This window comes from Homo sapiens, chromosome 14, assembly GCF_000001405.40.
Source record: "Homo sapiens chromosome 14, GRCh38.p14 Primary Assembly".
Taxonomy (NCBI): domain Eukaryota; kingdom Metazoa; phylum Chordata; class Mammalia; order Primates; family Hominidae; genus Homo; species Homo sapiens.
The window spans coordinates 20,983,613-21,005,603 of NC_000014.9; the positions used below are offsets into that span (position 1 = coordinate 20,983,613).

A 21,991-nucleotide genomic window follows, 5' to 3' on the forward strand; every position below is an offset into this window, starting at 1 on the left:
TCCATCACCTCAGTCTCCAAAGCCAGTAAAGAGAGGAGTGTCATTTAAGGTAGAGAATGCTATTGGGATTTTACCTCAGAGAATCACAATTACTTCTAGTCTAGTTCCTCACCCAGCACATGAAGCAACATGTCATCGTGTCCCACACATGGTCATTCGGTCTGCTGAAACACCTCCAGGAATGAGCAGCTCTCTCGCGTTTGATTGAGCTCTGGTTGTTAGACAGTTCATATACAAAGCCAGAATTTGTCCTTCATGTATCTTCTTTCCATAGCCCTGATTAGAGCCTTCCAAAATAATGGCTCTTCAACGTGATAGTTCCTCAGGAATTTGAAGACAATGGGCATACCCTTGCTCCCTTTCCTGAGTTTTTTCTGGTTTAATATCTTTGATCTTTTCAGTCAGGGCTCATTTTGCATAGTTTTCTCTGGTTGCTTTACTGAACATATAGCGCTCTTAAGGCAGTTCTGGGAGACAAAAATTCTCCAGGAATGTTCTGGTCAGTAGATAAAGCACAACACCTTGTTCCTACCATTGATTTGGGAAGTAGGTTGTTGGTTGTCACATCACACCATAAACTTATTAGTCAACGGGTAGGCCTAAGTCTCTCTCATAAGTGCTGCTGCTAAGAAATATCTTCTTCCAGACTGTACTCACGCCGAAGGATAGAATTTACTAAACTATCCTTGTTAAATTTCATTATTAAATCCAGTCACTCATCCTAGCCTGTCATGTCTACCTGGGATCATTATTAGCTATCTCTTCTAGTTTCATACATCAAAATTGGTTCAATCGGTTTTATTTTCTAATGCAAATAAACAATAGGGTCAGGGCTGAAGATACTGTCCTAGAAAGTTTACTTTCCAAAATGTACCATCAACTCATATTTAAGGGCCTCTCTCCCTAGGAGAACATGAGACCACTTGATGTCTTGAACTCTAGAAACACTATGGTTGCAGCAATCAACCCCTTGTGCCACAGTTGGCCCCACTTTAGTAGTATGAACACTAGCTGAGTGTCCAGCTCCACCAGTTGCTGCTCTGGGTGACCTCAAGCAAGTGGCTACTCTTTATCAGATTGTAGGAAAATTAAATGTGATGGTCATTATTCATTTACAGTTTACCACGTGCCTTCCACATTCAGCCTTACCTCGCTGAATCCTTAAAATTACTCTATAATGTTGGAGGCCAATCAACTATTATCTTCATTTTACAGACAGCGGAAACTGTATCTTGCTCTCAGTACTATGGTGCCCCCATGAGAGATGCAGACTCAGGGCACCCAGACCCCCAGCCATCTCTGCATCTGCAACACTTATACAACACAAAAGCCACAATGGCTGAAGTGTACAGCATTCCCAAAAGCAGCACCCTGGCCCTGGCCCCCTCATGCTGGTCCTTGAACAGCAGTTGCCCGCATTCTGTGGCCCCAGGGCCTACATGGGCCGGGTTCCCTGTGGAAGGAGGGCAAAGTAGATATTCATTCTTTTACAGATTTTACATAAAGATCTGTGTTTTTTTTTTTTTAGGTTTATGTTAGTTGACATGGAATGGAGGCATTAATCAGGTCAAGACTAAAATCTAGAGAAGATAAATCCAATGCATATGGAGCAGTGGAATCACTTCAGGAGGAACTGAACAGACTGCTTTAATTCACTGCAGAATTTTGAACAGCAAGAAATCCAAAGACTCAAGTTTCCAGCATAGAGGTGTGATGAGATGGAGAATGTTTGTATGAAGAGAGAAACAGGGGTGTTGCTAAAAACAAAAAAGAAGCTGGGTTCCTCCTTGGAATGGCCCTCCCTTGCTCTACTTGTTTTGGGTTTTAGGCTCCCCTTTATACAACATGGCTCTTTGGAGTGCTGGAGTAGGATTAAAAAGAAGAAAGAGGCCAGGCATGGTGGCTCACACCTGTAATCCTAGCACTTTAAGAGGCCGAGGCAGGTGGATCGCCTGAGGTCAGGAGTTTGAGACCAGCCTGGCCAACATAGAAAAATCCCATCTCTACTAAAAATACAAAAAAAAAATTAGCTGGGTATAGTGGCGCACGCCTGTAAACCCAGCTATTCAGGAGGCTGAGGCAGGAGAATCGCTTGAACCCAGAAGGCAGAGGTTGCAGTGAGCCGAGATCATGCCATTGCACTACAGCCTGGGCAACAAGAGTGAAACTCTGTCTTAAAAAAAAAAGAAGAAGAAGAGGAAGAGGAAGAAGAAAGAGGAGGAGGAGGAGGAGGGAGAGGAAGCTGAACTGGCTTGTAGAAGATTTCATAGATGTCTGATGCCCACAGTACTATCAGAGCTTGAACAAAAACAGCTCCACCAAATTCAAAGTAGAAATTTGGAACAAGATTTGAACAAGAAAAAAAATACCACTTCCCATAACACAGTCTCCTCCTCTCCTAGCTTTAGCCCTTAACACAGAGTGTGGCACATCTAACATGGTCAGTAAAGAATTCCACCAACTCAAGAACGAAAAATAAACTCCCTATCATGGATAAATGTCTTTCCCCATTATATATCTTTCTTTCCTCTTTATCTTCTCTTTCTTCATCCCTTTCTTCTCACATTTTTTCTTCATTTTCTGTATAATAGCAAGTCTCCTAGGCCAGGTGGCTGTGCTGGCCATTCCCAGTAGTTCTCAAAAACACAAACAGATCCTTCTGGAAAGTTCTGTCTTGAATTGGTCCCTGTTGCAGGACAGTACATTAGAAATGGTATTTCTAGAAGGCTTGGAGAAGTAGATGATAAGCCAGAGTTTCCTTCTTGGGATTCCTCTCCCGAGTCTGAACTGGAAACCATTGACCTAGTTGTTAAACAATGGAGGCCCCCAACCCAGAACATTTTAATGGGATAACTTTTAGATTTTCTTGAGAAACATGAACTGAGAATAGAAAGACTTCTACATTCTCTCACTGCCCTGGCCATTCCGGTCCCTATTTCAGGGTCTCAGTCCCTCAGGAGAGATATACGAGACCCCCAATGGGTGTCCAATCCTTGGATTTTCCTCTAAGACTTTATCCATGTGTTAAGAGTCCACAATGCACCTCCAAAGAAGCTCCTGTGTGACCACCATTCATCTTCTGAGGATATCAGCGATCCTTTCATGCCATCCCATGCCAAGACTAACACTGCTCTGTGGTGATCCCCCATCCTATATCTGTAGGAAGCCATGCTGGGTCTGCCCGAGCCAGAGTTTTCAAAATCTATAATCCCTCCAGAACCTCCTTGCTTTCCTCAACATAGATTTTTGCCAAAGGAGATCAGATCCAATTGGAAGATCCCTCCCCCGCAGCAGAATACTTTGTAATTGGATTAGTCTCAACAGCAACAGTAGTTCTGGCCTTGAATATGAGTTAATCAGCCAAGTCACAACACAAGAAAGCTGACTGCACCAGAAAACCCTGTACAATCCGTGAATTTCTTCATGGTTGAGACTCAGATGAATCATCATGTTGATCTGACTCATGCTTCTCCCTGCCTTAGGCCAAGAGACTGAGGCTTCACCTGGGATCTGCCTCTTTCCCACTCAAGAGTCAAATGAGCCCCCAAGGAGTAAGAAAAAAATGTGATTGATTCTGATTTGCACCCCAGTCTTTTTTTAATTTATCATAAAGAATCAAATATTTACATTAGAAGATATCTTGTGCTGTGAAAAAAAAGGAATAAAAGAAGGGAGGAAGAAAAGAAGTGGGAGGGTGGGAGAGAAAGGAAACAATAGAATAAGGCAGGCGCGGTGGCTTACGCCTGTAATCCCAACACTTTGGGAGGCCAAGGCCAGAGGATCGCTTGAGCTCAGGAGGTCAAGACCAGCCTGGGCAACGTGGAAAGACCCCATCTCTCGAAAAAAATAAAAAATTAGCCAGGCACAGTAGCATACACCTGTCGTCCCAGCTATTCAGGAGGCTGACGTAGGAGAATCGCTTGAACCTAGGATGTGTGGCTGCAGTGAGCCATGTTCTCACCACTGCACTCCAACCTGGGTGACAGAATGTCACCTGTCTTAAAAAGAAAACAATAGGCTAGAAAAAAAAGAAAAGAAAGCAGTAAGTGACATAAGACCAAGAGGAAAAAGGGAAACTTGAGCATCATCTGTCCTCCCAGTGGCCTACGGAGGGAAAAGAGTAGACACTTAGCTTCACAGTCCACCGCAAATCAGGCAGGGTCACTTCTGCAAACACTGGTAACCTACTAAAACCCAAGCACAGAATAAGACAGACACTGAGATTCAGAGATAAAGTCAAGATGGCTCCTACTGTTGCAGGGGAACTAGAATGACTCAGAATCCCAGACAGGTCATGTTTGAAGAGGCCATTCATTCACTCCCATTGAGGTGAAAGTTGCATCCCTTTCTCCCTTCTCTCCTTCTCTTATCCTGGAGCGCAAACATTGTGTGGAGTGCAAACATTGTGTGGAGCCCCTACATAGGCGCGGTGGCTTATGCGTTGGAGTTGAACTACTATGAAGGTACTTGAGATCTGGTGATTCCCTTGGATAAATTTCCTACAAGGAATCATTTCACAAAGTTTTATGGACAGAAAATGCCCATAATTTGGATGGTGGCTTTTGGAGCCGTGACATGATCTCAGCTATATGAATAGAATTATAAGGACAAGATGCTGAGGGATTTACTCAAGAGCTCTGACTAGCTGACAGTAGAATCTTGGCAGATCTTCCAACACACACATCTAGTATGGCCCAATCTTCAGAATTATCTGTGCATTTGGGCAAGAATAGGCCCCATCGCCAGCACCCTGGCATTTGGGCAAGACTCGCACAAAAAATGAGGGATGGCTTCAGGAGTAAGAACCTTTGAGACGGCCTGGGTTGTGGACTTAATAGTCTGGAGAGATATCAACAGGTATCAATTTAATTTAATGGTTCCATTCCTCAGATATCTCTAGGGCAGAGTCCTCAGCCCAGGGCACACACAGAATCACGACTCTGAACGTGAGCATTCTCACTGGAGGGGTAGAGGTCACTGTGGTGACCCTTTTGAGCACCCAGGAAAGATTCCCAGGTAAAAGGAGGACTGAGGAAAAGCTGGAAAAGAGGCAAGTGTCAGCCTAGGATGTGTCAGTGGGCCATGCATTCATCTACAGGAAGGGCGGTTCCGCCTGGAAGAGGCAGAGCGGCCCTTCTCCCCCTGTCCACCCATGTCTCCTCACCCCACCTCACCCCGAGATGAGGAGCCCTGAGAGAGCTGGCAGGCTGCAGTCGGTGAGGTCTGCAGATTTGGGGAAGAAGTCGAATAAGGTAGAGAACCACAGAAGGAAAGTCCAATTAGGGCGCTGGGGCCTGAGATCATCAGGCCCTAGCCTGATGACTCAGGAGTCTAGCCCTCCAGATGAACTGGCTGGTTCCACACACAGGTCAAGTGGATGTGCTGGGAGAACATCCTAAACCTGTAACGGAAATTAGGGGGCCAGGAGCCCACAGAAATCACACACTGGGTGAGCTCAAGTGTTCGGAGACTGAGGTAGCAGTTGTCCACTGTCAGGTCCCGAAAGTAGATATCGCCTTGCATATGCCATTTATCCTTCTGATGCTCTAGTGAATGAAGGTGTTGATGAGCTTGCAGACTCTGGAGACCATTCCCCTATGCTATATTATCACGTCACAATAGTGGCTGGACCCACCTGAGATTCTGCACCTCAGGTAATCAGACGGCTACTGTCTAAGTCCTGGGCCTGGGGGAAACACTCTGACGTAGCAGCAGACACAGGAGGGTCCCCGTCAGAACCATGTTTTCTGTGAAGTGGGGATCAGTCCTTTTCCCTGAAGTACCTAGCACATAGGTGTTCTCAGTAAGTGTTATGTTAGCTTACTAAGAAGACTGGTCTCATTTGAAGAGAAATTAACAAATGTAAAAAAATAAATAAACCTATTAACTAGGTTTAATATTTATCAAACTATTAACTATTCAATAATCATTTAACTATTAATTTCTGTTTTCTTCAGTCGCTTAAATCTGATTTTTCTCTTCTTTCCGTTACTGCAGTCTCCCTTTTTCACACAGGGAAACAACCCAAGACTCAGAGTTCTCCGCGGAGGAATGCAAAGAACACAGGAAGTCAGTACTCCCAGAAACAGTCTTTGCTGGCGCGCTCACACCCAACCCCATCCCGCCCCCGTCCCGTCCCGCCCCGCCCCACCCCACCCTCTTGATTTCTGGGGCCGGTGACCAGGCCCAACGCAGCCTTCAAGTCGGCCCAAACACGGTTTCTGCCTCAAGGATTATTTATATAACCATTGCTTATTGGCTGCTGGCAAACACTCGCTCTTCTCGTTGGCTGAAACTGTCGGGAGAAGTTCTGCGAAGGCTGCTCCTTGCGGCGTTGGGACTGAGGGTCACAGGCACCTGTATTTCCGTTTCCGGTTCGCCTCCGGAGCCATGGCGGCGGCACTGAAGTGTCTACTGACATTAGGAAGATGGTGCCCCGGCCTTGGAGTGGCTCCCCAGGCCCGGGTGAGTGCCTACATTCCCTGCTGTCGGAGAGACTCTGGATCTGCAGAGACATCTCCGCGCAGAGGAGGAGCGCTCCTGGCAGCCCCCGCCCTAGCGATTGCCAGCAACTTTCCTTTCTGCCAGGAAATCAACCTACCTTTCTCTGCCTGCAGGCGCTCGCCGCCTTAGTACCCGGAGTGACCCAGGTAGATAACAAGTCCGGTTTCCTGCAGAAGAGGCCTCATCGCCAGCACCCTGGCATCCTAAAGCTGCCGCACGTGCGGCTGCCACAGGCACTGGCTAACGGTGCCCAGTTATTGCTACTTGGTGAGTAACGGCGGGAAAGCGAGAAGAAACGGGACTGGACCTACATGCAAGTGATTCCGCTTTTCGTCTTTGGCCCATAGGGAGCGCTGGGCCCACTATGGAGAATCAGGTGCAAACACTGACCAGTTATCTCTGGAGCAGACATTTGCCTGTAGAGCCAGAGGAGTTGCAAAGACGGGCTAGGCATCTTGAGAAAAAATTCCTGGAAAACCCAGGTAGGACTTAAGAATAATTAAAAAGTGGGCGAGATTGAAATATCGGTTAGAAATGAAGAGTAAGAAATAATTCTACAATCTCTCAGATACTGAAGTCTCTTATTTGACTTTCTAACCAGAGCAGCAGTTGTTACAATGATGCCTTACTAAAAGAAGGTAGATTATTTTAGAGATTGCTTAGGTAAAGGTCAGAATGTCCCAGTATACTGTTTTTTGTTTGTTTGTTTGTTTTGTTGTTTTGTTTTTGCTTTGAGACAGAGTCTTGCTCTGTCACCCAGGCTGAAGTGTAATGCTCGATCTCGGCTCACTGCAACCTCCGCCTCCCGGGTTTAAGTGATTTTCCTGCCTCAGCCTCTTCAGTAGCTGGGATTACAGGCGTGCACCACCACACCCGGCTACTTGTATTTTTAGTAGAGACGGGGTTTCATCATGGTGGCCAGGCTAGTCTCGAACTTCTGACCTCAGGTGATCCGCCCACCTTGGCCTCCCAAAGTGCTAGGATTACAGGCATGAACCACCGCGCCTGGCTACCAATATACTGTTAAAATCTAGATATTTATTTTTTTCTGCAAGTCCACTGGATTAGGACCTTCTAAGTTTTTATTCAGGTAAAATAAAGTCCCTGGATGGTCCCTGCCCAGTACTGAAACCCTCTTCTGGGATAAGAGGGTAAATATAATTCATCAAGTTAGTTTCATGATTGTGAGCTCCTTGACACTACCATTTATTCATCTTGCATTCCCTGCACACCTCACAGTACCTGGCTCACAGTAGTTCAGTAGATACTTGCTAAATAGTACTGAACTGAACAGTCATGAGACGTAGATTTTCAGATTTCTTTCCTCTCCATAGGAATAGTGGAGATCATCAAAACCTTAAATTTTGGAGAAGTGAAGAAATCCAAAAAATAATGTCCTTGGCCTACCCTTTAAAAAAAATTTTTTTTTTTTGAGACAGAGTCTTGCTCTGTTGCCCAGGCTATAGTGCAGTGGTGCGATCTCAGCTCACCACAACCTCTGCCTCCCGGTTTCAAGTGATTCTCCTGCCTCAGCTTCCCAAGTAGCTGGGAATACAGGTGCACGCCACCACGCCTGGCTAATTTTTGTATTTTTCGTAGAGAAAGGTTTTCACCATGTTGGTCAGGCTGTTCTCAAACTCCTGACCTCGTGATCCGCCTGCCTCAGCCTCCCAAAGTGCTGAGCTTACAGGCGTGAGCCACCGCACCCAGCTTACCCTTTAAATTTGTATCACACTTTCCTTTAATATAAAACAAACCTGTGGGACAGGATTGGTTAAGCTGAATAAACCATTCTTATAAATAAAATGCTATCTGATACAATCTGTTAGTGGTAGTTGTTACCGTTAATTCTTGCCTGAAACTTTTCTCTAGGTTTGTCGTCTCCCTTGAGCTTTAAGGCTTTTCTTAGGTGGAGTCGGGGAGGACTGGGTGGGCAGTATATTCAGATATTGGATCTGAGCCCTGTTCTCCCTAGGTCCTGACTTCCAGTCCTTGTTCTCACCACAGACTTATCTCAGACAGAGGAGAAACTTCGTGGAGCAGTGCTACACGCACTACGTAAAACTACCTACCATTGGCAAGAACTGAGGTAAGGGGGCCCAGAAGAGGTGCACAAGAAAGCAAAGGTAGACTTTAGAAAGAGAGTTGGGGGAGTACAATTACACAATCAATTTAGTATTTTCTTTTATATCACCTGACCTTAAAAGGATCAATTTAGTATTTGAAAAAGCTAAAGTACAAAGTTTTGAACACTGAAGTTTGAAAATTTAGTGTTTGTAAGTCTCCCCAGGACCCTTTTGTATTGGGGAGTGAAAGGCCTGAGCTGGAAGAGCCCTTTCCAAGATGTCATTTTCTAAATCTAGAAGGTAATTATGGGATTAAGGTTATTTACTAGTATGTACAACTCTGTGATTTTAATGGCAGCTACACTGAGGGACTGAGCCTGGTGTATATGGCAGCAAGACTGGATGGTGGCTTTGCAGCAGTCTCCAGAGCATTCCATGAGGTGAAAGTCCCTTAACTTCCAACCTGAACTTTTTGACCATCAGTTCCCTATTCATAAAGTAGTTTTCTAGGATGGGGATTCTTGGGACATTGCATATGCATTTTTTTTTTAAAGAGGATCTCCGCTGGACATAGTGGGCTCCTGCCTGCAGTCCCAACTGTTTGGGAGGCTGAGGCAGGAGGATTGCTTGAGCCAGTTTGAGGCTGCAGTGAGCTGTGATCTCCACTGTACTCCAGCCTGGTGACAGAGTGAGACCTCATCTCTTAAAAAAAACACAAAATAAAGACGTTCTCTTTATCCTGTGAAAGCTTTCTGTGACCCAAGAAAGGTTTAGAATCACTATTTTAGGAGATTCTTATCCCATAAGGTATTTGTATTGAATCTCAAAAGGCATTCACATCTCACATCCTCTGTGATAGCCTCCTAATTCACATTTATCAAGGTCCTAAATAAGTATCTAATTACCCTACTGTGGGATGTTGTATATTTCTTCAGATCCGGGCTCGAAATCCAGCATTTCAGCCACAAACTTTGATGGACTTTGGCTCAGGTACTGGTTCTGTCACCTGGTGAGTAACTTTCTTCAGCCCTATCTTGGTCAATTTTAGCTCTAGAAAGCCATACTTACACCACTCCAAAATTAACAGACTGGAAAACCAGAGGGAGAATAGGCAAGTTGGGAATCTATAATGTTTCTTCCATCAGATTAGGCAAGGCAGAAGAAGGTATATGGATTGGGGCCAGAACTTAAAAGAAATGTCAAGTAAAAAAAGGCGCATGTGTAGAAAAATTAAAAAGAAAAGGAATTATCAATCAAAGTTGTTTTTGCCTACAAATAGTATTTTGAGTCTACCTTTTTTTTTTCTTTTTTGAAACGGTGTCTCACTCTGTCGCCCAGGCTGGAGTGCAGTGGCACAATCTCGGCTCACTGCAGCCTCCACTCCTGGGTTCAAGTGATTCTCCTGCCTCACCCTCCCGAGTAGCTGGGACTACAGGTGCACGCCACCACACCCAGCTAATTTTTGTATTTTTAGTAGAGACGGGGTTTCACCATATTGGCCAGGCTGGTCTCTAACTCCTGACCTTGTGATCCGCCCACCTTGGCCTCCCAAAGTGCTGGGATTACAAGCATGAGCCACTGTGCCCAGCTGAGTCTACCTTTTTTTTTTTAGGAGTTGTAAATAAAACAAGAAAATAACACTATTAGTTATTTTATTACTAACTATACAACTACTTTAACATAACACTCTCTTTTCCCAGGGGTGGGGTTGGGTGTAAATGGGCCTCTTGTAGAGATGACTCTTGGTCATGGGAATTGGTGATTTATAATAATTTTGCCATCTTAGGGCTGCTCACAGTATTTGGGGCCAGAGCCTACGTGAATATATGTGTGTGGACAGATCAGCTGCCATGTTGGTTTTGGCAGAAAAACTACTGAAAGGTGAGTGCAAGAGCACTTCCAAAGTTGAGGGAGTTAAGAAAGCAAAGGGGTACTAGTAAAAGTGTTTTACTGGGAAGTAGAGAAGAGGGTAAAAATTAAGATGAATCTGGTTTACTTTTAAAGTTATAGTCAAGCAAAGGGTGGTATTAGAGGTTTCTGCTGGACTGAGGATGGGTTGGGTAAGAATCAAAGGACAGGAGGCCTAATATTCTCCCTGCCCTTTTTTTTTTTTTTTTAATTAGAGGTAGGGTCTCCATATGTTACCCAGGCTGGTCTCAAACTCCTGGCCTCAAGCCATCCTCCCACTTCAGCCTCTAGGGTAGCTGGGATTACAGGCACGCACCGCCATACCTGGCTCATCCCTGCCCTTTTTGATATACACTTTACCTATTCTTGGGGCCATGTTTCTTATCTGGATATCTCTTCAGTTTATACCTAACTTCCTACACACTCACAGTTGCCTCTTCTTTTCTCCACAGGTGGTTCAGAATCTGGGGAGCCTTATATTCCAGGTGTCTTTTTCAGACAGTTTCTACCTGTATCACCCAAGGCAAGTGGCAGTGTTTAGAATATTCTAAATGTGGAATGTGGCAGATGGAAAACTATGGCTTGAGCTTTGCAGCCCAGCACTGAGTGTTAGAAGATAAAAGAAATTTAGCGGCTAGGACTTTGTTGTATTCTTGGGATGTAGAGATGTTGAGTCTGTCATGTTCCTTGTCTTGGTCCTCAGGTGCAGTTTGATGTAGTAGTGTCAGCTTTTTCCTTAAGTGAACTGCCCAGCAAGGCTGACCGCACTGAGGTAGTTCAAACCTTATGGCGTAAGACAGGTCATTTCCTGGTGAGTTAAAATTCCTTGTTCTCCTTAAGTCTTGAAGCAGCTTCATGGATTTCATGCCTTTGCTCCTCTCATTGTCTTTATTCTTCACCATTTTTCTCCTTCATGGGTTTCTTTATCCCTCTTTGAGGGTCTCCATCCTGATTATGTAATGCCTATTTCTTTTTAGGACTCCTTCTCCCTCTATGATTGCTCTTACACAGCTACTGACATTTATACTTTCGTGTAATTCAAGTCTTCTGCATATTTTCCCCTTTTGTGAACAGGTACTGGTGGAGAATGGAACAAAAGCTGGGCACAGCCTTCTCATGGATGCCAGGGATCTGGTCCTTAAGGTAAGGCTTCTTCTTCCCTCACTCCCCCACCCATATGGCACCAATTACTGTTACTCTCTTGAAAACGAAAGAGACTGTCATGTATTGACAAGGGTGGCTCTCAGGAAACTGGGCGTATGAAGTCATTATGATACAGAGCAGTGGTTGGCAAATGAGAGCCTGTGGATCAAATCCGACCTGCCACCTGTTTTTATATAAGCCATGCTTATTTGTGCCTCTGTTGTCTGTGACTGCTTTCACACTACAAACAGCAGAGTTGAGTAGTTGGGACAGAGATAGATTTTGCCTACTCTCTGGCCCTTTAAAAGAAACTTTGCGGACTCCTAATCTAGGGCATTGCTGAGCTAAGAACCTTGTCACTGGGGGAGAGTATGAGCCAGTGTATAATCATAAATTTAATTGTCCTGGAGTGGGATTTTTTTGAGAGTGGAGGTTGCTGACAAGGGAGAGCACCGTACTATGTGCCAAGTTCTTGCCTTTCTCCTGCAGCAAAGAGAAAGTTCTTTGTTTGGAGTATTAAAGATGCAGCCAGCTTAATTCAAAGGACATAGTCAATCGTTATTAGAATTGAGTGTTAAAGGAGTCCTCAGTTTACTGAGTGCAGAGATTGAATTATGAAAATAGACCCTTGGCCCAGCTTTATTTCTTTTATTTCCTTTGATTTCAGGGAAAAGAGAAGTCACCTTTGGACCCTCGACCTGGTTTTGTCTTTGCCCCGGTGAGTATTACTTCTGCCTGTCCCACCACACGGATCTGAACTTAGGCGTGGCCGGGAAATGTAAGATGGTAAAGCTAAGCCACTCTCCACTACTTTGTGTTCCTATCCAGTTCCTACCTAATGATTCCCCTGGCTCTTCCTACCCACTGCTCCTGTCCTCCCTTCTCCCTGGCCCCTTTTGACTCTATTATTCTCAGTTTTTAAGTTTTGTGATTGATGGCTCTTTTGTCTTACCTCATTTTTTTATGTGTTCACAGTGTCCCCATGAACTCCCTTGTCCCCAGTTGACCAACCTGGCCTGTAGCTTCTCACAGGCGTACCATCCCATCCCCTTCAGCTGGGTAGGTACCTGGGGATATTGCAGCAGGAAGCAAACATCCTGGAAAAACAGGAAGAAAAAGAATCAGAGTTAGGAGGAGTTGGATAATTTGTAGAATAGCCTGGAGACTTTAGGGCCTACATGTATATGATTTATACATTGTAAAAAAGGACTGCAGGAATGGGGAAGAAGGGACTGTACAAACTTTTTTCCCATATCTTTTTCTTCTAAACAGTCTCTATGTTCCTTATCTTAGAACAAGAAACCAAAGGAAGAAAAGTTCTCTATGGTGATCCTTGCTCGGGGGTCTCCAGAGGAGGCTCATCGCTGGCCCCGTATCACTCAGCCTGTCCTTAAACGGCCTCGCCATGTGCATTGTCACTTGTGCTGTCCAGATGGGCACATGCAGCATGCTGTGCTCACAGCCCGCCGGCACGGCAGGTATGGGGGGTGTGACCAAAATCAGTGGGATGTGGCAGGAAGCTGCAGCCCACGCCAGCATCTGTTTCCACAGGGATTTGTATCGTTGTGCCCGTGTCAGCTCCTGGGGAGATCTTTTACCTGTGCTTACTCCGTCTGCGTTTCCTCCATCTACGGCTCAGGATCCCTCTGAGAGTTGATGAGGATGTGTAACAAGTATTTTCTTCTATCGTGCCTGCCAGGGCTGAAGCTGCCTGGTATCCAGGAGGGGAATGCTGGTATCCCCATATGTCTGTGTTTGTTTGAGATTTTTAATAATAAATAATAAATTTTTGAAGAATGGAAGTGGATTTTGTGATTCTTAAAAAGTGTAGAAGCTGGGCACGGTGGCATGTGTCTGCATTTCCAGCCACTCAGGAAGCTGAGGCAAGAGGATCACTTGAGCCCAGGTGTTAAGGCTACAGTGAACTTTGATTGTAACACTGCACTTCAGCATAGGTAACAGAGCAAGACGTCCTCCCTTAAAAAAAAAAAAAAAAAAAAAACATGTAAAAGGTATAGTTAATTATCCTGGCCTATCCTGTAATGAAGAGCTTCCTCAGATTTTTGGTGCCAGGCTTCCCACACAAATCTCAAGCTCGCCCTCTCCTATTGTGGCAGTTCAGAGCTCCATAAGCTCTTCGCTGTAATGATGAATGTGTAAGCTGATCATTAAAGCAGAAGTAGAAAAACCAGATTTCCATAAGCCCTTTGCTATAATGATGAATGTACAAGTTAAACATTAAAGCAGAAGCAAGAAAAATGGATAAGGAATCGGGGGAAACTGGTGCCTGAGTACGAAAGCCAGAATACAAAAAAAGCAAGCCCTTTAAAGCCCCACCTATACTTTCTCTACCTCAGATCTAGCTGAGTGATAAAAGCATTCCTGCACATACAACCCATCCCAGGACCAACTTAAGATTAAGAAACTTCTGTCTGCAAGTACTCACTCACTATGGTGGGATCAGCTGCAAAGCGAACTGTCCCATGCTCATGTTGATGGTTTTCTAGATACTGCCAACATGTTAGCTCTTTCTGGTGCCGATGAATTTCAAACGCGAACAGACACCCTTGATGTGGGTTTGCTAAGAAAATAGAAGAACAGGAAGAAAAGTTGCCAGGTTCAGACATCCCAGGGAAAAAGAAGCGTAAACAGCATTAGCAATCAGTGACTGATGATAATGCTGCAATAATGGGAATGGTTTTATTTCTAAATCAAATCGTTTATTGCTTTGTTTCTAAAAAACAAAAAAAAAACTTCTACCTGCAGACCCCTAGTTTAGATTAATTAGGAAACATTCCCGCAGGTAGTCATAGAGCTTGAATTGTATATAAAAGCTAAAGAAAAGCTTGTAACTTTGAGTTGGTCTGGTGTGCTACTCCGACCTCCCTGTAATCAGTTGCAGAAATAAACTCCCGTCTTTCCCAGTCTGTCTGTCTGCATCTCATTACCGGACCACAAGAACAAGCAGCAGGACCAGTAACACTGTAAGAATCATCCAGTAACACTGTAAGAATACTGCTTCTACCAGAGGCCAGGACTTCCCTAGGAAAATAATCTGGAGTAGCAAGGAAAGCTGCCTCCAGAGCTCTGAGAACTGGCTCAACAGGTCTCAGGGTTGTTATGTGGGCCACCTGAATAGGGGAATCAGCAGCTGCCTGGCCTCTTGTACTAACGCCTTCCCTTCTGTCTTTCCCAGGGTCCCTCAGCTACCCTAGAGTATGTATGGGAAATGCCCCAGACATTTCCATCAAGAGTGATTCCCATCAGAACTGAATCTTCTACCCCCACCTCTCTATATCCAGGTAGAATCCTCCCATTCACTCAGTTCATTTCTGTTTTCCCCTAAGCCTTGCTGTTTCAGGGCTAGAGCAGCTTCCTTTGTCTTAAACCTTAAATGTCTTTTTTTCCACAGTTCTTACCAGGAAACAGGCACAGTTAGAAGTTGTAACAGTATAAATGTTGTAATACCAGACATCTCAACTCATTCCTCTCAAAACTGATCCCAATCAAAAGAGAAAGAAAAAAAACAAATCAACTTACCACTAGACATTTCCATGCCTGGAGCTATTTTTCTGGGGTTACAGGAAAGGGTAGTTCCCTCATGTGGGTACTAGTTCCCACAGAGTAGCACCAGCACCACCTCTCAGCCCCACCTCTTTACCTCCAGGTGGCCCCAAATCTCTGAAAGCGGGTGGTTCAAGTATCAGCATTGCAACCTATAAGACTTGGGATGAGGTGGAGAGGGTATGGAAGGCTTAGATCAAACGTCCTGAGTGAGACAGGACCAGATTGTCCCCAGTACAAAATAGCTGGGAAGCAGCTACCATAGACTTTCCTATTTTGGATTAGACCAACCCCAAGCACATGAACTAAGACTATCCGTAGCTCTTGGATTAGTCATGCCATTGAAGAGGAGGAGAAGACGCCACTGGGCTGTGCCTGGCAGGGAGTCTGGAGTTTCTGGTTTCCAAGCTCAGGAAGGCGTGAACCAGGGGAGGGGCCTCCATGCAGGGGGAGGGCTAGAAGCTGGGGCAGGATCTGTCAGCTCTGCAATGCTGCAGAAGCAGAAGCAACACAGAAAGAAGATACCAACAGCCTCCTGAAACTCACGAGAGTGGACACTCCAGTGTTGACCACCTAAGATACCACTCCTGCTCCAAAGATTACAGCTCCCTTGTCATTCTGACTCCTGGGCTTACCCTACACCCCAGAGATGGAGCAACTACTAGGAATAAAACTTGGCTGCCTGTTTGCCCTGTTGGCTCTCACTCTGGGCTGTGGCCTTACTCCCATCTGCTTCAAATGGTTCCAGATTGATGCAGCCAGAGGTATAGCCCTACCCCATCTTTGTTCCATAGCCTGAGTCTCACCTCAACCCTGTCCTGATACCTTGCTCTGATTCTCTCACCATCCCCAACCTTGGGATATTGAGTGCTGCCTGCTGCTCTTTACTCACCTTTGTCTGTCTCCTCAGTGTCAAGTGGGTTGTAACTTCTGCTTTTTATTAGGTCATCACCGGCTAGTCCTCAGACTCCTGGGCTGTATTTCTGCTGGTGTTTTCCTGGGAGCAGGGTTCATGCATATGACTGCTGAAGCCCTGGAGGAAATTGAATCACAGATTCAGAAGTTCATGGTGCAGGTGAGAGCAGAGATTTCAAGCCGCAGGTCTATGAGGCCAAAATGATAAACAGGACAAAGGGAAGAGAGCGGGAAAGTGATGGAGCCAAGGACATGGGTGGAACGACAAGGAAAATGACAGCTCTTGTGTGGGATGGTGAAAGCAAGTCAGATTAGGCTTTAAGGAAAACAGAATTGCTGAAGGGACAGCACAGGAAGCTGTGCTGCTCCATCCCACATCTAATTTCTGCTGCTTTCTTCTTAGAACAGATCAGCAAGTGAGAGAAATTCTTCTGGTGATGCTGATTCAGCTCATGTAAGTACCTCCCACCATCCCCTATCTGGAGAGTGAGGAGAACCAGAGAGGCCTTTCATATCCAGACCCTTTTGAGAGGAATACATGAGGAGTACCAAGAATCCCTTCTGCTCCCTAGCTCAGACATCGTAGAGGAAAAGAGGAGCAAATCCAATCCTTTTGAGTTTATAGAATGCCAGGGAAAGCCCTTGTTTTACTCTTTCATTCTTTCCCTGGATCCTCTGATATACCTCACATCATTTGCCCATGTTTTTAACTCTATTGAGATTCTGTCCCTTAGCCCCTCTGGCAGTCTTTTGTTGTTGTTGTTTTTCGTTTGTTTGTTGAGATGAAATCTCTCTGTCGCCCAGACTGGAGTACAGTGGCACAATCTCGGCTCACTGCAACCTCTGCCTTCCGAGTTCTAGTGATTTTCCTGCCTCAGCCTCCTGAGTAGCTGGGATTACAGGCACGTGCCACCACACCTGGCTAGTTTTTGTATTTTTAGTAGAGACGGGGTTTCATCATGTTGGCCAGGCTGGTCTCAATCTCCTGACCTCAAGTGATCTGCCCACTTCAGTCTCCCAAAGTGCTAGGATTACAGGCATGAGCCACTGTGTCCGGCCCACTCTGGCATTCTTGTTGTTGCATGGCCATGTCTACTCTTGGCTTCATTTCCCCTACCCTTTTTTGTGTTCTGTTACCACATTTTCTCATTCTCTTCAATCTCCCAATTCCATGTCCATCCAATGTATTGCCTACCCTTCCTTTCCATCTCACAGCCCTTCTTTTTGTTTCTAGATGGAGTATCCCTATGGAGAGCTCATCATCTCCCTGGGCTTCTTTTTTGTCTTCTTTTTGGAGTCGCTGGCATTGCAGTGCTGTCCTGGGGCTGCTGGAGGATCGACAGTGCAGGACGAAGAATGGGGTGGGGCTCATATCTTCGAACTCCACAGCCATGGACATTTACCCTCACCCTCAAAGGGTCCCCTCCGAGCCCTTGTCCTCTTGCTGTCACTCTCCTTTCACTCAGTGTTTGAAGGGCTAGCTGTGGGGCTGCAGCCGACAGTAGCAGCTACCGTGCAGCTCTGCCTTGCTGTCCTGGCTCATAAGGGGCTTGTGGTGTTTGGTGTAGGAATGCGGCTAGTGCATTTAGGTACCAGCTCACGATGGGCAGTGTTCTCCATACTATTATTAGCTCTCATGTCCCCCCTGGGCCTAGCCGTAGGGCTGGCTGTGACTGGAGGGGACTCTGAAGGAGGGCGGGGCTTAGCCCAGGCTGTGTTAGAGGGTGTGGCAGCTGGTACCTTCCTGTATGTCACCTTCCTAGAAATTCTTCCACGGGAGCTAGCTAGTCCTGAGGCCCCTCTAGCTAAGTGGAGCTGTGTAGCCGCTGGTTTTGCCTTCATGGCCTTTATTGCCTTGTGGGCCTGAGAGATTCCTGGCTTTTCTGATGGACCTATTTAGGACAACCTCTCTATCCCCAGGGAGACCTCCCAAATGGCTTTGACCCTCAGACATTTCTTTACTCAGACTAAATAGCATTCAGTAGGACTGGACTGGACCCCAGGTTTCCTTTACATGAGATCCCATTTCTCACCCTGGACTAAGACAAAGATATTTAGGTTGAGCAGCTATTAATTGGAGAATTGGTACAGAGACGCTCCAGATTTTATTCTTATCCCATTTATGCTACTGTGTGTAATAAAATGCCCATTTTACCCTCCTTCAGCCATTCTGGATTTCATTTCTCCTGGTTGCCTAGATGCTACCTGGCACAGGAAGTGGTGGAATGGGGAATGGGAAGGATGAGTGTTGAATGCAGTATTTTATTCTGGAATTAGGGCTCCTAGCCATCCTGTCAGTTGCAGCCACACCCCTAGACATGGCACCTTGCTAAAATTCCCCTCCCACCTTACCCACTGTAGTTGAGAAAATGAGCCAGTTCCCAGCATTTAAAAGGAAAGAAAGTTAAAAGCCAAAATGACGTGGATCGATTATGTTCCTACACTTACCATAACCACCCCATTCCCAGTACCCATTATCAGCCACCGATAACATGTCCAGGCTAAATGGAGATCAGGCAGAATGGAACCTATCTCCATTAGGTTCCTGTTTTTTCACACCGAGCCCTGTGTGGCCTCAGGGACACTATTGCTCTTCTTTGAGCTTCTATCTCCTTCCAGCTGCCTTGTGTTGAGGGATTAAAAAGCAGTGTGCTTGGAGAGGGAGAAAGGTGCTAGATATTAAAATAAATGCCTGGGATGATTACTTGGCTCTTGCAGGACTCACTGGCTTTTCTCCTGCCTGTCTTACCAATTGTCTTTCCATCTAAGTAACCCCTACAATGTGTTGTTTCTCTTAAAAACTGCTGAGGACAAATACGAAAGCAGGTTAGCTGGAATTGGTAGGAACAGGATGGCTATTGCATAGCCCCCAACTCATGAGGTGGAGGAATATCTCAAACTTAGTGGAGAAATGGGGAAAGAGAAAGTGTGCCCTGTGAGTTCAGTTACCCTCACAAGTTGGCCCTTTCTAGTATTTTCAGCATGGAAGCCCAAGTACCTTAACATGGACATTCATTCTTCTTCTCAGTCTCTGTCTCCTTTCCATCCTGTTCCCCTTCCTACAAAGTAAGAAATACAAGCCTCCTCATAAGCCCAGTTTACACACCCAGAGATCAGTGAGAAGGCCAGCTTCAGGCAAAAATGATACAGAGAGAGAGAGAGGGAGAGATGATAGATATGTCTAACGCAGGAAATCATTTCCCTAAAGCACCATAGTATTGTGTTTTCTTTCCATTTAGCGTTAAATGCAGTAACATGTAATACACTCAGAACAGTTGTCCAGTGTGTAGTAGTTTCTACTGTAATAGTTTCTACACTGAACAATGGCTATGTGCCAGGTACTATTGTGGCAGGCCAGGTTTCACTAACGCAGGCCTCCATCACATTTTCGTCTCACAGCCCTTCTTTTTGTTTCTAGATGGAGTATCCCTGTCACGGGCTTATTTTGTTTCCAGTCAAGCAAAACAAGGGGCTTATCTCCCTCACAGATCAGCATATGAGATATGCTTCAGATATGTTTGCCTGTCAGACCCATAAACACAACAAGATATGCCAGCTGCAATGGAAGAGAAGCCCTGTTTCAGTTCGTGGATTACAGACTGCAACTGGTTAGGTTAAATATTAAAAGCTAAAAAAAAAGCCGGTGCCTATACAAAGGCCGTCATGTAACAAAAGCCCATCAAGAGTTTTGATTAGGCCTTTCCTGGCAAAACTTAAAGCATGACAAAATAACGAAGGAATTCTTACCAGGACCCATTTAGGATTAAACAAGTTTTATTGAGGGTCTGAAGAAACTCCCCAGGCCTCCACAAACAAGTTTACTGGGCATCTGAAGGAACTCCCCAAACCTCTGTGATTTAGCAGAAGACAAGATAAGGGTAACCACCCCAGCATCTAGACCCATTTAGATTAAGCTTACTGAGGCTCCAGGAGTAGGTCTTCCGGACTCAGACCTTAGTTATAGATGAAAAGAAGTTAATCACTTATGTCTTTAGATGAATGCACGCTTACACGTAGACATATAGCTTAGAAGGTATATAAGCTCTGAAAAACTTTGTAATTTTGAGTTGGTCTGGTGATAATTTCCAGGCCTTCTCCCTGTAACCGATGACAGAAATAAAAACTCTCTTTCTGCCCAGTTCATCGGCATCTCATTATTGGGCCACGAGAAATAGCAGCGTGACCCTCTGTTTGGTCTGGGAACAAAATTTGGAGAGCCAGCCAGGAGATAAGGATAGTGCTGCCTTCAATGGCCGGCAGCTTGCGACGAGACAGTCTTCAGGAGGATCCCAGCAGCTGTGGGGTGAGGTTTCCCCCGGGGACCCTCCAGAGGGCTGGTCCATGTGCAAATCTGCACATCCCTTTCACTACTGGCGAAGAACAGAGGTCAGGAGCGGAGAGGCTCAAAGGGTGAGTTAACTGGATCATATGCCAGGAGCCTATTGTTTTCCTATCTGGGCTTGTGAAGCCATTTGTCCGGTACCACCAAGGGAAGCAATAGGGCTCGTTCATACGCCTGCTTTGCATTTTGGTCGAGATCAGGTTTTGAGTTAGTTTTGAGTCTCTTTTGCCTGACTGCACTCCCCCTTGAAATCTGTCTCCACTTGTTTGTGTGTCTGTCTTGTTCCTTTTGATACCATGTAAACTTGAAAACGGGAAGTATTGGGTCCATTCCTGCTGGGAGGCCTCTGGGAAGGAGAAAGGTTTTTTTAGAAGCTCAATAGTTGAGAGTCAGCTTAATTAAAAGCTACCATCCAAAATGTGTATGCGTATATATGTGTGTGTGCATGTTTGTATTTAAAAGGCCTTCATGTTTTTGTTTATTTCTCACCTAGGACCTTGTTTTTTTGAGCAAAAGTTTTTTCTTCACAGTTGACTGAATCCTGTTTTCTTCATTAATGGCTAGTACAACAGAACCTACTCTGAGATTTTTAAGATAAATGTAATTTAGATGCTAGAAATGTCTTTGTTTGAAAAAAAAATTAAGTGCACTGTAAAAGCATCAAATGGTCTAGCCTCATAATAATTCTCCCCTTTTGAAAACCCAGGATTCAGTGTGGGGTCTGCCCAGAGCTCAAAGGTCCAGTTAAAAAATAGGAAAAGGAAGGCTTATGAATTTATAAAATATACTTCTATTGGCATGACTAATACGTGTAGGTATTTATGTCTTGTGTACACCATGTTTCACTACTGAAAAATATAAAAGAGTTGTAATTTACTGACTCAAAGAAAAAATAAAAGCACTTACAAACTTTAACAGAAAAAAGGAAAGACTAGTCAAGTGCTTTTTCAAGTTTATGTGACTTAAGTAAAATCCTTAATAAATAAGCTAGCTTTAAAAATTATTGGTAAAGTAATATTAGAAATCTTAAGAGTTGCCAGCATACATTTTTGTTTGCATTTATTGATCAAGCAATTTCATACTTATCTCTGCCAAATACTATAAAGTGTCAAAATTTGGCATGGAGGCTACAAAACTATAACCCAGCCCAAAACAGAATGATCTTTGCTTGTGTAGTTTTTAAGAATAAAACATTAATATTGGTTTAATGAAGATAGCTACATCTTGAATTATTTAGTAAAATACTGTAACTTCTGATCTTGTGGCCTTAGGCAGTCTAGTCCACAGACATGAAGAAAGTTTGTTCTGGGAAAGGACTGTTATCGTCTTTGTTTCAAAGCTAAACTATAAACTAAGTTAATAAACAAGAATAGCTTGTAGATTAGACGCAAAATGGAGTCAGGTCAGATCATTTTCACTGTCTCAGTTATAATTTTGCAATGGCGGCTTCAAAACTTTAAATGATGACTATCGTAGTTTTCATAAATAATCCAGGTAAACGATTAAAATAATTAGATAAATGCAATTGGATAAATACTTGTAAATAACT

At 44.7% G+C, this 21,991-nt stretch overlaps 2 protein-coding genes and 1 long non-coding RNA gene across 5 annotated transcripts, besides 4 other annotated features; 2 read left to right on the forward strand and 1 right to left on the reverse strand.

Moving 5' to 3' along the window:
• Positions 6,015-6,144: a silencer, noted in NCBI's record as "silent region_5575". NCBI's record gives its function as "represses an Ori minimal core promoter by ATAC-STARR-seq in GM12878 lymphoblastoid cells {active_cell/tissue: GM12878}" and the evidence as "EXISTENCE:reporter gene assay evidence [ECO:0000049][PMID:35858748]".
• METTL17 (methyltransferase like 17) lies at positions 6,368-13,423 on the forward strand. 2 transcript variants are annotated; one of them, NM_022734.3, is made up of 14 exons: positions 6,368-6,465; positions 6,618-6,771; positions 6,852-6,986; positions 8,512-8,593; positions 8,929-9,010; positions 9,506-9,579; positions 10,357-10,451; positions 10,931-11,001; positions 11,182-11,289; positions 11,553-11,621; positions 12,289-12,339; positions 12,597-12,680; positions 12,915-13,099; positions 13,173-13,423. In NM_022734.3, the coding sequence occupies exons 1-14, from the start codon at positions 6,391-6,393 to the stop codon at positions 13,276-13,278; spliced, it is 1,371 nt and encodes a 456-aa protein (NP_073571.1). In that variant the 5' UTR covers positions 6,368-6,390; the 3' UTR covers positions 13,279-13,423. The 2 variants fall into 2 exon arrangements, with proteins under 2 accessions (NP_073571.1, NP_001025162.1); NM_001029991.2 differs by having other exon boundaries at positions 12,915-13,423.
• Positions 6,895-6,944: an enhancer, noted in NCBI's record as "active region_8098". NCBI's record gives its function as "activates an Ori minimal core promoter by ATAC-STARR-seq in GM12878 lymphoblastoid cells {active_cell/tissue: GM12878}" and the evidence as "EXISTENCE:reporter gene assay evidence [ECO:0000049][PMID:35858748]".
• LOC101929718 (uncharacterized) lies at positions 12,225-15,551 on the reverse strand. Its single transcript, NR_110139.1, has 4 exons — positions 15,162-15,551; positions 14,068-14,202; positions 13,220-13,598; positions 12,225-12,718 (listed from the first exon to the last, which is right to left on the reverse strand). It is a non-coding gene; the product is annotated as an uncharacterized LOC101929718 (long non-coding RNA).
• Positions 12,517-13,716: an enhancer, noted in NCBI's record as "MED14-independent group 3 enhancer chr14:21464288-21465487 (GRCh37/hg19 assembly coordinates)". NCBI's record gives its function as "activates an origin of replication core promoter dependent on BRD2, BRD4, P300/CBP and CDK7 cofactors, and independent of MED14, by STARR-seq in HCT116 cells {active_cell/tissue: HCT116}" and the evidence as "EXISTENCE:reporter gene assay evidence [ECO:0000049][PMID:35650434]".
• Positions 15,681-18,259, forward strand: SLC39A2 (solute carrier family 39 member 2). 2 transcript variants are annotated; one of them, NM_014579.4, is made up of 4 exons: positions 15,681-15,949; positions 16,130-16,260; positions 16,504-16,554; positions 17,335-18,259. In NM_014579.4, exons 1-4 carry the CDS (start codon positions 15,835-15,837, stop codon positions 17,965-17,967), a joined length of 930 nt encoding a protein of 309 aa, NP_055394.2. In that variant the 5' UTR covers positions 15,681-15,834; the 3' UTR covers positions 17,968-18,259. The 2 variants fall into 2 exon arrangements, with proteins under 2 accessions (NP_055394.2, NP_001243517.1); NM_001256588.2 differs by having other exon boundaries at positions 16,509-16,554.
• Positions 15,740-16,939: an enhancer, noted in NCBI's record as "BRD4-independent group 4 enhancer chr14:21467511-21468710 (GRCh37/hg19 assembly coordinates)". NCBI's record gives its function as "activates an origin of replication core promoter dependent on BRD2, P300/CBP, MED14 and CDK7 cofactors, and independent of BRD4, by STARR-seq in HCT116 cells {active_cell/tissue: HCT116}" and the evidence as "EXISTENCE:reporter gene assay evidence [ECO:0000049][PMID:35650434]".